Genomic DNA, 13,257 nt, shown 5'->3' with positions numbered 1-13,257 from the left:
AATCTGCAGAGTTCTAATCTGAGAGCTTTCGATCATCTAAATTTGCTGTAACACCCAAGCACAGATTTCGAATTTCAGTCACTATAAAATACATTCTTTCTATTCACTATCTTGTATAATCTGTAAGTTGGCAGGTTTCCTTTTTTGGAAAAGAACAGTATTTTCTGTTGTTGCTGTTGTTTTCAATTTTGGATTCCTCAGATTTGCACATAGCAATAATGAAAGGAATTTTAGCTAAAGTTTGTGAGCTCGTGCTATGTAATGGCTTACATATATGCTCTCACATATAATTTATAGTGTCTTTATGAAATACGATTTTAATCCTCATTTTGTAGATGAGGAAATTATGAAACAGGAATACAAAATACCTTATCCAGTGCCCTCAGTGGTACCACAAGGATAAAAACTCCAACAGTCTGACTCCAAATTATTCTTAACTAGATTAGAATTGTGGTTAGGCTGGGCAAAGTGATTCACGCCTATAATCCCAGCACTTTGGGAGGTTGTGGAGGGAGGATCACATGAGGCCAAACATTTGAAATCAGCCTAGGCAGCAACATAGCAAGACATGTCTCTACAAGAAACTTAAAAATTAGCCGGGCATTCTGGTGCATGCCTGTAGTTCCAACTACTCAGGAGGTTGTGGTGGGAGGATACCTTGGGCCCAAGATTCAAGATTTCGGTGAGCTGTGAGTGTGCCACTGCACTTCAGCCTAGTCAGAGAAAGACCCTAGCTCTTAAAAAAAAAAGAATTGTGGAAAATATGTAGAGATAATTCCTTAAATAAGACTCTTTAGGTTTAAAAAGGTATAATTTTTCACTGTCTCAAATACAAGTTGGTATTGCTTCTCTATTATTTCATAACACTCACGATTGAATATTGCAGGACTTTTATTCTAATTTATCATGATAGTAGCTATTTTGCCATCATACTATCCTAACACACCATTATATCCCCTTATACTGCAAATATCTTTTGAGAATATGCTTCACTCTTAACTCTAAAAAAGGAGTCCCAAATCCCTGGGCCACAGATAGGTACAGGTTCGTGGCCTGTTAGTAACTAGGCCACAAGGCAGGAGGTGAGCAGAGAGCAAGCGTTACCACCTGAGTTCTGCCCCTTGTCAGATCAGCAACAGCATTAGATTCTCATAGAAGCCCAAACTGCATTGTGAACTGCACACGAAAGGGATCTAGGTTGAGTGCTCTTTATGAGAATCTAACTAATGCCTGATAATCTGAAGTGACAGTTTCATCCTGAAGCCTTCACCCCCCAGGTCCATGGAAAAATTGCCTTCAATGAAACCAGTCCCTGGCACCAAAAAGGCTGGGACCACTGCTCTAAAGCATCAAGTATTGTGTAGGTCAAAACACCAATCCTCATAGCATCACTCAGTAACATTTCTCAGACTGATACCGTGGTAACTCTTAACACATTCCAAATCTAGCCATACTTAAGACCATAAATATATTGTTTTAACCAAGTTCTTTTGATGAAAACTACTTTCTTCACTATAATTAAGCTATAGAATATAAATCTTTTTATGTGTTTAGAGAAATATGCCATTAGAAAGCTAGGATCTGGTTCTTCTGGAATTAAACAAGAAAAGTCTATTTTTTAAAAATCACTTAAAGAATGAAGGTATGGATTTATAAGGAGAAGTCTAGGCAGCTGGATAAGCCGATAGCTGAAGATAGATAAGATAAAAATAATAATGTGGCTGAAATTTATAAATGCCATTGAAGAGAGAAAACCATTTGTCATCCTGATTTTTCTGGTATATCTTGGAATATGATGATATCACAAAGTGCCAAAAACATTTTTCCCCACTTTTAAGGTTATGGGACCTGCTGCCCTAGAATGCAACTTCTGGTAAAAGAAGTCATTTGCTGTTAATACAATAGGAACTGATTCACTATGAGCAGATTTAATTGTGTAAAGTCCTTTGAGATTCCATGAAATCATTCTGTTAATGTTGACTATAATTTAAATTGAACTAGTTGAATTAGAATGCCTTACAATGAAGAAAATAAATCAACCTATACCATTGCTAATTCTAACAGGGGACAACAGTTTACCTGCCTCCCAGAAGGATGCTGAGTAGCCATGTCAACTCTCTCAACCAACAACAGTCAATGTAGCTCAAAGTGCAGGGTGGATGTGAGATGAGACATTTGAGAGAGAGTGAGCAAACCCTGCTGGAATAAAGATAACCTGGCCTCATATTAACATCAAATGTCTAGAATTCCAAAAACAGAAGATCACACAAACTATGGTGAGAATGAAAATTATACTAAATTGCTAGTTATCTTCTCCAGGAAAGCAAGTAAGACATGGTATAGCAAATTGTTTACATTTGTCATAGAAATGCAATTATTCAAAAGGAAACTGTAAGCACTCTATGCAAATTAATAAAATTGAGAAGATGAGGATATTTTTAAAATCCCCAATGCCTTAGAGAGGTTTGATGGACTCTTACTGAGATTTGTAAACCCAAAGGCCCAGGCACAGAGTTATAACAAGATGAGGGTGTTTGCGGGGAACAGGAGATTCAGGGAAAAACAATTACATTTAGAAACTATTTCAAATTGTGAGATACAGCTGGGCACAGTGGCTCATACCTGTAATCCCAGCACTTTGGGAGGCCAAGGCAGATGGATCACCTGAGGCCAGGAGTTTAAGACCAGTCTGGCCAACATGGGAAAACCCTGTCTCTACTAAAAATACAAAAATTAGCCAGGCGCGGTGATATGCACCCGTAGTCCCAGCTACTTAGGGGTCTGAGGCAGAAGAATCACTTGAACCGGGGAGGAAGAGGTTGTAGTGAGCTGAGATTGTGCCACTGCATTCCGGCCTGGGCAACAGAGCGAGACTCTGTCTCAAACAAACAAATTAATTAGTTAGTTAATTACAATTGTGAGAGAAAAGTTGTTCTGTGTTCTTTCATTTATTAACTACGCTTAAATACATTTACAAGTCTATTTTTCTTAAATCATATTTCCTCACAACGGACATTGCTTAGAATTTTATCAAAAATAAATGAATCTATTCAATTGCACTTGTTTATCTTATCCAAAATATCTCACCAGCTTGGTGCCATACTATTACAGCATATTTCGGATCTCTTTACAGAGTGTGGAAGCTATGGTGGCAGGAATAGTATAACATATTTCTTGAGATCATAACCCAGAATAATCTCATTTTTTAAAAGCCTATGTGTTATGTAAAACAATTATTTCAGTTTGTCACACTAACTGAAATTGTCAACCTCAATATGCAGACAACTCATGATTAGATATTGTTCTTGATGTGATCATTATACGAAAGTTTAAGTTGTCAGGGAAGATGAGAAAACCTATAATATGTTTCTTTGATTTATAATAGTTATTCCTCCTACTTTTCCCGTTATATATTTGATTTAACCTTACAAATGTAAATGTTAGTTTTCTGTGAGGAAGCAGGTGGCAAGGTCATTAGACTTGGAGGGATTTAACGTGAGCCTCTAGGAAATACGCAAACCTCAGACATGTTTAAGTAAGGATCCTCACCTTAAACGAATTGCTTGTTACATACAGCTAACTCCGAGTGGAATTTCAAGACATTAATGTAAGAGAGGGTGACCAAACCATGCTGGAGTAAAGATAACCTGTCCAGTATTATCCCAACGGACTGCTTGACAAATCATGATTTGCCAAACTTAATTCAGGTAAGTTTAAGTGAAATATTTCTAAATAGTGAATCTTAGAAAGTTTCATAAAAATTGGAAACACTTATAAATTCTATTGAAATTAGTTACCATTTACAGAAAAAGTATAATTATTTGACCTTTTATAATTATGATGAACAAAGGGAAAATTGTTGATTGTATATTGTTACTGGAAAAGGTCTATGTAAAATACTCATCCTGGCATTTTAACGCAAATACTTTAATACCACAAACATACCTGCAAATGTTTACTCCATTAAGTTTACCACTGGTTTTATTATGTCTTGACAAAAGGATCAAAGTTATTTTTTTATTTTTTTGAGACAGAGTTTTGCTCCTGTTGACCAGGCTAGAGTACAATGGTGTGATCTCAGCTCACTGCAACCTCTGCCTCCTGGGTTCAAGCAATTCTCCTGCCTCAGCCTCCAAGTAGCTGGGATTACAGGTGACCACCACCATGCCCAGCTAATTTTTGTATTTTAAGTAGAAATGGGGTTTCACCATGCCAGGCTGGTCTGGAACTCAGGTGATGCACTCGCCTTGGCCTCCCAAGTGCTGGGAATATTATAGGCGTGAGCCATCACATCTGGTCTCAAAGTTACTTTTATGATTCACTTATCACATCAAATTTGCTATAGACAATGTAATTTTCTGCACAAAGATTTTAACCATCTAAGCCTCGTATACAGGGTAGTTGAGCATGAAAGATGCACTGGAGAAATCACAGGTGTAACTTAGATAGCAGTTATCACTGCTTTAGAAATGTCACCATTTTATAATAAGCATCCTCTTATTTTAGGATGGCTGATTTATATTCATAGTACCAATACAGAGAACTCAAAAAAACAAGATATTTAAGTAAGGATAGATATTGTACGTACTTGGTTTAATACCATTTTTAATTCCTTAACAAATGTATGTGATCTGTGTTAGCATATCTATCTTTCTTACCTAGATAACACATATTTTTGTAGAAAGGAAATTCTGAATATATGCATGCAACATAATGAAAAGTTGTCTATAATGTTTAGGAGCCCTTTGGAGGAGTCAACCAATGAGTGCAGGCACTGCCACACAAGTTAGTGGTAGAAGTGGGAAGGAAGAGACACAGGATAACTGAGCTCTGAGCCCACCTAGACTGCTCTACATGCAAAGCATTAACAGTACACGAATGATTTAAAAGGAATACAGTCTGCATTCAGAGTTAGTAATCATTTCACTCTATATGAATACAGGAAGCTTTTGGCCTAACCCTGAATTAAAAGTGGTTCTAAGCAAATTATATTTTGCAGATTAAAGTGATAACACCTGCCAACCTTAGGAAAAAAAAAAAAAAACATCAAGGTTGCCAAAGGCTTATGCAGAAAATCACTCAATGCTTTATGTCGTTGTTTCTGTAAATGAGATTCTACACCTATGCATGGACACTGTTTCCATTTCCATTACAAAAGCCACGGGTGGGTAACAGATAAAGCCTGGGCTCCACAATGAGGAGATGAGAGCGTCAGGAGTTCTCCACCCGCCAGCTGTGTCACCTCAGGGAAGACATTTGACTCCTTTAAATCTGTTTTCTATTGGTACAGATGCGTTAATTCCTGCCGCCTGACTTCAGAGGTTTATTGTGAGAATTAAACGATAAACACAAAGTCTAATTTACAGATTATAAACATCACAGAGGTATTTTTACTACGTGGAGTTGAGAAAATATGATCCCACTTTCATTTTGTTTCACTTATCTTTTTTGATTTCCCATTTTCTCATTGATAAAGTGAAAGATGTATACAAATAATCCATGATCTCCTCCAGCTCTGCAATTCTATGACACTAAGAGGTTTGTGTTAGTAAAGACACCTTCAGAAAAGAAACCTAGAGCCTCTTCCTTTTGTGAGTACCCAAGATTTTTAAATGATGCCAAAATAACCAAATGAATTTTATGTATTTGAAATTGTATACTTAAATTGCTGCTGTTGGCATAATGTAATATGTATGTAGTAAGAGCATATATACACATTCTATATGAAGCATACACATTGGTATGTCTGTACATTACATTTTAACAAAACATTAAAATTGAAATATTTTTAATAAATATGGGTTTAATGGTATATTACAGATAGCTTAGTCTGAAAACGAACATGTTTGGTAAAATAAAAATAGTAATATTATCTAAATCTTGTCTGTGTATATTCAGATTGTACAAATAAGAGCATTTAAAGATGAAGTTACAGCTTAATTTGAGACTTTTCATATCTGTGTGAGTCAAATGACTCACTGTGCCCCAATTGCCCAACTTTCCATATCTTTTCCTCCAGCAAAAGGTACTCTTCAAAAGGGGAGTATAAAATATCTTTAGAGACTATTATAGGAAAATCCTAAAATCATCATATGACAACATCACAAGGAGTGTGGAGATGTCAAAAGTTGATTCAGAGGAAACTATGGGCATTTAGAGGTGTTTTTAAAACAACTATGCAGCTTTTAAGGTTACATTCTGAGAGAGAGGGACAGAATATTTGAGGCTTACAAGAAGATAGACATGCGTAAGCCAAACAATACAAGAGAGCATACAAAATTGCATACACACACACACACACACACACACACACACACACACAGAGGCAGTCTGTACTTTGCATAGCTTCAATATATGCTTGAACCTAAGTTACTGTGGTTTACCTAACAGTTTAAATTTCAGTTAGCATAGTTGTGTTAACTGTATAGTTATGTTAACTGTAATTGCATGAAGTATAAACTTTGCTGCTAGCTCTTTAGCATGAAAACTACTACATAAACAACATGTGCATCATGATCCATGACCACACGAATTACTTCAAAGTCTACTGGTGGCTCCTCACTGTACATCTGTTATTTAGTTCATGCACAGACAGTAAAGCTTGTAGTTGTGTTGCCTCCTTTACTCCCAGTGATAAACTGAACATCTTTACAAAACTGCATAATTGAAAAGAAGAACTGGCTAAAGATTCAAACAGAAATTGAAAGTGGAAGAAATACACGGTGGAAATTTTGACACAGCTGTTGTTCAAGAGACTCTAGACTTGCAGCCAGAAAAAAATGCCATAAAGGTGAACTTACATATAAGTAAGGAAAGTGATTATTATTAAAAGGAAGAAAATTGGGAGAAAAGCTTCTTGTTAAAGGAATTCAGATATTATACAACATTGAAGGCACAAAAGATAAAATGTTGAAAGCTGATGCAAACTCAGAAAGGAGTATGACAATTTGTGTAGGCAAAGATGTTTGCTTCATATTGTAAGCTATGCAATGAGAAAAAGGCAAACACTACTCAAAACTACTCCTGGTAGGTTTTTTACAATGAAATAAAACACATTAGTTCTTAGTGTTACCAATGCTTCAAATTACAGTATAGATAATTACTAAACCATTTTTCATTTTTCTATTCATTTATAAGTGACATTGAAGGAGTGCTTAATATTTTCAAACAAAATGTGTACAGGTCATGGAATAATCATAAGTTATCCATTGATTATTATGATTATCCTTCAGCTTCAGTTTGCAGAAGATTTAGATGATTTACTGTACCATTCAAAGCAAAAACTAGGGAGAGATGACTTTTCAGGGTAACAGCCTTCACATGGCAAAATCCTGTCTCTACAAAAAATACAAAAGTTATTCAGGCATAGTGTCACATGCCTGTAGTCCCAGCTACTCAGGAGGCTGAGATGAGAGGATCACTTGAGCCTGGGGAGGTCCAGGCTGCAGTGAGCCAAAACTGTGCCAGCGCACTCTGGCCTTCTGGCCTGGGCAATAGAGTGAGACCCTGCCTCAAAAAAAATAAGACACAGCATCCTTGAAGGGAGGGATTAGATCAACAATTTGTTCAGATTTCCAATATTCATGATTCAGTCTTGATAGGTTTAATATTTCTAGGAATTTATCCATTTTTTAAGTTGTCTAATTTGTTAGTGTATAACTGTTCACAAAAGTCTCTTATGATCTTTGGTATTTCTGTGTTATCAGTCCTAATGTCTCTTCTTTCATTTCTCATTTTGAGTCTTGTCTTTTTCTAGGTCTAACTATAAGTTTTTAATCAATTTTGTTTCACTTTTAAAAAGAAACAACTCTTCATTTATCTTTTGTTTTTCTAGTCCCTTATTTATGACTGCTCTGATCTCTTTTTCTTCTGCTAACTTTGGGCTAAGTTTGTTCTTTTTCTAGTTCCTTGAGGTGTAATGTTGGATTATTAGAGATCTTTCTTTTTTGATGTAAGCATTTACTGCTATAAACTTCCCTCTTACAACTGCTTTTACTGCATCCCATTAGTTTGGGTATGTTATGTTTCCATTTTTATTTTCAAGTCTGAACAGACCATAATAAGTAAGAAGATTGAATCAGTAATTAAAATTATTCCACCAAAGAAAAGCTCAGGACCAGATGGCTTCACAGCTGATCTCTACCAATCATTTAAAGAAAAACTAATACAAATTCTTCTCAAATTCTTCCAAAAATGTATAAAAGAGGAAATACTTCTAAACTCCTTTTACAAAGCTAGCATTACCCTCATACCAAAACCAGATAAAGACATTACATGAAAAATAAACTATGGGCCAATATCACTGATGAACACAGATATAAAAATCTTCAATAAAATACTGATAAACAGTATTTAGTACATTAAAAGGATTATTCACCATGATCAAGTGATTTGTCCGTGGGATGCAAGGTTGATTCAACATATGCAAATCAATAAATGTAATTGATATCATTTGGCTCTGTGTCCCCACTCAAATCTCATTTTGTAGCTCTCATAATTACCAGGTTGTGGTAGGGACCAGGTGGGAGATAATTGAATCATGAGGGTGGATCTTTCCTATGCTGTTTCTTGTGATAGTAAATATGTCTCATGAGATCTGATGGTTTTAAGAATGGGAGTTTCCCGGCACAAGTTCTCATTCTCTTTGCCTGCTGCCATCCATGCAACATGTGACTTGCTCCTTCTTGCCTTCTGCCATAATTGGGAGACCTCCTCAGCCATGTGGAACTATAAGTCCATTAAACCTCTTTCTTTTAATAAGTTATCCATTGCCCAGTTTCAGGTATGTCTTTATCAGCAGCCTGAAAATGGACTAATACAGTAATTCACTATATTACCAGATTGAAGGACCATATCATCTCAATAGATGTAGAAAATGCATTTGACAAAATTTAACATATTTTCACCATAACAACTCTCAATGAATTAAGTATACAAGGAATATTCCTCAACACAATAAAAGCCATATGTGACAAGCCCACAGTGACATCATACTCAGTGAAAAGTTGACGGCTTTATCTCTAAGATCAGGAAGATAAGGATTCCATTTTTGCCACTGCTATTCAGCATATTACTGGAAGTCCTAGCCTGAGCAATTAGGCAAGAAAGATAAATAAAGAACATCCAAAAATAGAAAGGAAGAAATCAAATTAGCCTTGTTCACAGATGACATGATCTTATACTTAGAAAAGTCTAGACTCCACAAGAAAAGTTTTAGAACTGAGAAATTCAGTAAAGTTGCAGGATGCAAAAATCAACTTATAAAAGTCAGTAGCATTTCTATACATGAAGAAACTGTCTGAAAAAGAAAATAATTCCATTTACAATACACCAAAAGCTAGAAGTAAACTTAACCAAGGAAGTGAAAGATCTATATACAACACAGATGAAAGGAATTGACGATAACGCAAATAAATGGAAAGATATCCCTTGTCCGTGGATTGGAAGAATGTTAAGATTCATACTTCAAGCAATCAACAAATTTAATATAATTTCTATCAAAATTCTAATGTCATTCTTCACAGAAATAGAAAAGAAATCCTAAAATTTACATGAAACCACAAAAGATCCCAAGTAGCCAAAAAGCAATCTTGATCAAAAGTAACAAAGCTGGAGGCATCATACTACCTGATTTCAAAATATATTATAAAGCTATATTAATCAAAACCGCATGGTACTGACAAAATAAGAATTGATATATTGAACAAACAAATATGATAGAGAGCCCCAAAATAAGCCCAAGTATCTACAGTCAATTGGTTTTCAATGGTGCCAAGAACACACAATTGGGAAGAGACAGTCTTAAATAGATGAGGCTGGAAAAATGGATATCCATATAAAGAATAAAAATGAACCTTTATTTCACCCCTTATACAAAAATCAACTCAAAATGGATTGAATACTTAAAGACTTGAAACTATAAAATTACTAGAAGAAAATATAGACAAATAGCTCGCTGACTTCTGACATTGGCCTGCACAGTGATTTCTTAGATATGACCCCACAAGCACAGGCAAGAAAAGCAAAACACAGGCAAATGTAATTGAATCAAACCAAAAAGCTTCTGCCCAGCAAAAGAAACAACAGAATGAAGAGACCACCCACACACTGGGAGAAAATAGTTACAAATCGTACATTGGATAAGGGGCTAATACCCAGATTATATAATGCAAGGAACTCAAACTATTCAACAACAAGAAAACAAATAACCCTATTAAAAACGGGCAAAGGACCTGAATACACATTTTCCAAAGGAATACATACAAATGGCCAACAGATATATGAAAATTTGTTCACCATCTATAATCATTAGAGAAATGCAAATTAAAATCACAATGAGAAATCACCTCACACCTATTAGATCACTTATTATCAAAGAGATGATAGATAAGTGTTAGTGAGGCTATGGAGAAAGGGGAATACTTACACACTGCTTTCGGTATTGTAAATTAGTACAGCCATTTTGAAAACCAGTATGGAGATTCCTCAAAAATCTTAAAATAGAATTACTCAACTATCCAGCAATCTCACTCCTGGGCATATATACCTAAACGAATTAAGACCAGTATGCTGAAGAGATATCTGTACTCTCATGCTTATTACAGCATTAATCCTAATAACCAGCATTTGAAAGCAATCTAAGTGTCCATCAACAAATAGATTTTTAAAATATGACATATATACACAATGGAATACTATTCAGCCTTAAAAAAGGAAATTCTGTCATTTGCAACATGTATAAACCTAGAAGACATTATGTTCAGTAAAATAAGCCAGGCATAGGGATATAAATACAATATAATCTCACCTATATGTGGAATATAAAAAGTTGAACTGATAGAGAGTAGAATGGTGATTACCAGAGGTGGGTGAGGGTAGAGGGGTGTTGACAGAGAAATGGGGAAACATTGGCCAATGAATACAAAGTTTCAATTAGATGTCAGGAATAAATTCTGGTGTTCTACTGCACAGCAGGATGACTATAGTTAATAATTACATTTTTCAAAATAACTGAAAGAGAGGATCTTAAGTGTTCTCAGCACCAAGAAATGATAAATATTTGAGGTGACTGATATGCTAATTAGCCTTATTTGATCATTTTACAATGTAACATGTGTTGAAACATCACATCATATTCCATAAATGTATACAATTTGTCAGTTAAAAATAAAACTTAATTTTTAAAAATTACTGGCATTTAGAAATTTACTCATGCCAATTTTATTCCAATATACTTATTTCTGTATCATTTGGTATCTTCATGTAGACAAACCCATAATTAACATGTATCTATGATGTTCATATTTCTATTCTTAACTTCAAGGTGACATCTTCTACAGCAAAAAGATGGATTTAGCAAGGTCATTTTTAGCTCTCCCTATGGCTGACTTAATGCTACACTAGCCATTACAAGGCACATTAGTTTCTTGCCGGGACATTTTTATCATGGAAGTAAGCTTGAGGCCTACCACACTTCATGAATTTTATGTAAAATTCTTTTGTTTTGCCTTTTAAAAATTTCTCCCTTTCTGCTTCTTTATTTTCCCATTGTTCCATTTTTTTTGTACTTGAGAGTGTCATTTTGACACTTTCTATTTCCAATCAAAAAGTTTTATTTTAACACTTCTATTTCATGTGATTATGTTTTAATTCTATAAAATCTGTGCAAGCCCTCACAATCTTGGCATACCATCTACATCTAAGCATTGTGCTGATACGTAGAAGGATGTCTATAGTCTGTTAAATGAAGAAATTTGTCTTGTTAGTCCCATTGAAAGTTTTCCTGATGAAGTTTTTCTTATTGGTTTTGAATTTCTCATGCTTATTAATTTTTATTTATACTATTTATCTTGTTTATAGAACTATGGCACTTTATTTTACAGTAAATTATAAATTGTCATTAATATAACATCCATGTTATATCTGTATCTGAGTTTCATAAGACTTCATTGTCATCTGTTGCTTAAAATCACATTCTGTAAAACAATGTATCATATAGAGAAGTTTTGTTTATTTTATAAAGCTTTTCTTGTATATTGCTTATGTGTTAGAGTTAAAACATAAATGAAAATAAGATATTGCTCAGAGTGTACTTTATGAACAATCTGTAAGAAGACCAAAATTGTGATGTGTAACTCAGTTCAACAAAGATGGCTATCTAAATTGTTTCGAGCACATTTCAGGCTAGGTTTTCAACCCTAGACAGAAACATCAAATCCATCTCTAACTCTTTTGGAAACCTATTATCAAATGAGAAAAAATTTCCTAGCTGACTTCCTTATCTTATGATGGAGCTTTGACACTTGGATCAACTAATAATTGTAGCCGTTTCACAGAAAAGGTCAGTTTTGACAAATGGCCTCTTGCACATGGTGAAAACACTCTTTCACTGTCAGGCTAAGGTTATACTCAATAAATGCAGTTATATAATCAGAAATATCTTTGGATGGACTATAATATACCCACAGGGCATTTAGAGAAAAGCAAAGCTTCATTTTTGTCTTAAATTATCTTCCTATTGACAAAAATGAATACAAATTAATACAAAACGCCATAGGTAACAGAGTTACACGAATAAGCCACTGCAGCTATGTAACGGTAAGTCTCTGATGCCATGCAACCAAGGGTATGTGAAGGATAAAAGACAGTAGAACGAGGACAGTGTATATAAATGCTATTATATGGCAGCTAAGTGGTAGCTAGTCACAAATAAATGAATGGCTTAAAGTAGTAACCTTACAGAAAAGGTAGGTTAAATGGGTGTCATTCAAATTCATATTTATGCATGTCTAATTTGTGGTTGAGAAGTAAGCCTTGTACAAAGTATTTCTAGAATATCTGAATAATTATAATTCATTGGGTTTTTAAGTAAAAAGTCATCAGAATTCATTGAAGAACTTAGGAGTTATGTAACCAACATGTCACTTTTAAAAAGAATTCTTGTCACAACATCACATAGAATAAGAGCTAACTCCCCATTTAGTTTTCTGAGAAACAAAACATGTATTTGATGACCAAGAATTCATCAAAATGAGTGTTTACTGGAATGCATATTGTGTGCTTAGCACTGCTGCGTTATAGGAGGAATAGGAAAGAAAAAAATGGTTGTCACCATAAGAGAACTAATGAATAACACACATGCAAATTTAACAAATGTTAACATGCACTCTTATACTAAGAGTCAAACAAGTATTCCAGGACAATTTAATAATTCAAAAGCCATGAAGAGGCGGCAGAGAAGTAGTCCGCTTAATGGAG

The 13,257-nt window shown here is 34.8% G+C and overlaps 2 long non-coding RNA genes across 2 annotated transcripts in view; one reads left to right on the top strand and one right to left on the bottom strand.

The window, feature by feature from the left end:
• LINC01098 (long intergenic non-protein coding RNA 1098) overlaps positions 1 to 13,257 on the bottom strand; it is a 261,994-nt gene that overhangs the window by 230,300 nt on the left and 18,437 nt on the right.
• Positions 1,535 to 4,068, top strand: LOC105377560 (uncharacterized). The gene is made up of 3 exons (XR_939511.2): positions 1,535 to 2,276; positions 3,577 to 3,707; positions 4,035 to 4,068. It is a non-coding gene; the product is annotated as an uncharacterized LOC105377560 (long non-coding RNA).

The sequence above is a fragment of the Homo sapiens genome, chromosome 4, assembly GCF_000001405.40.
Source record: "Homo sapiens chromosome 4, GRCh38.p14 Primary Assembly".
Taxonomy (NCBI): Eukaryota; Metazoa; Chordata; class Mammalia; order Primates; family Hominidae; genus Homo; species Homo sapiens.
This window is presented reverse-complemented; position numbering and strand designations above follow the sequence as displayed.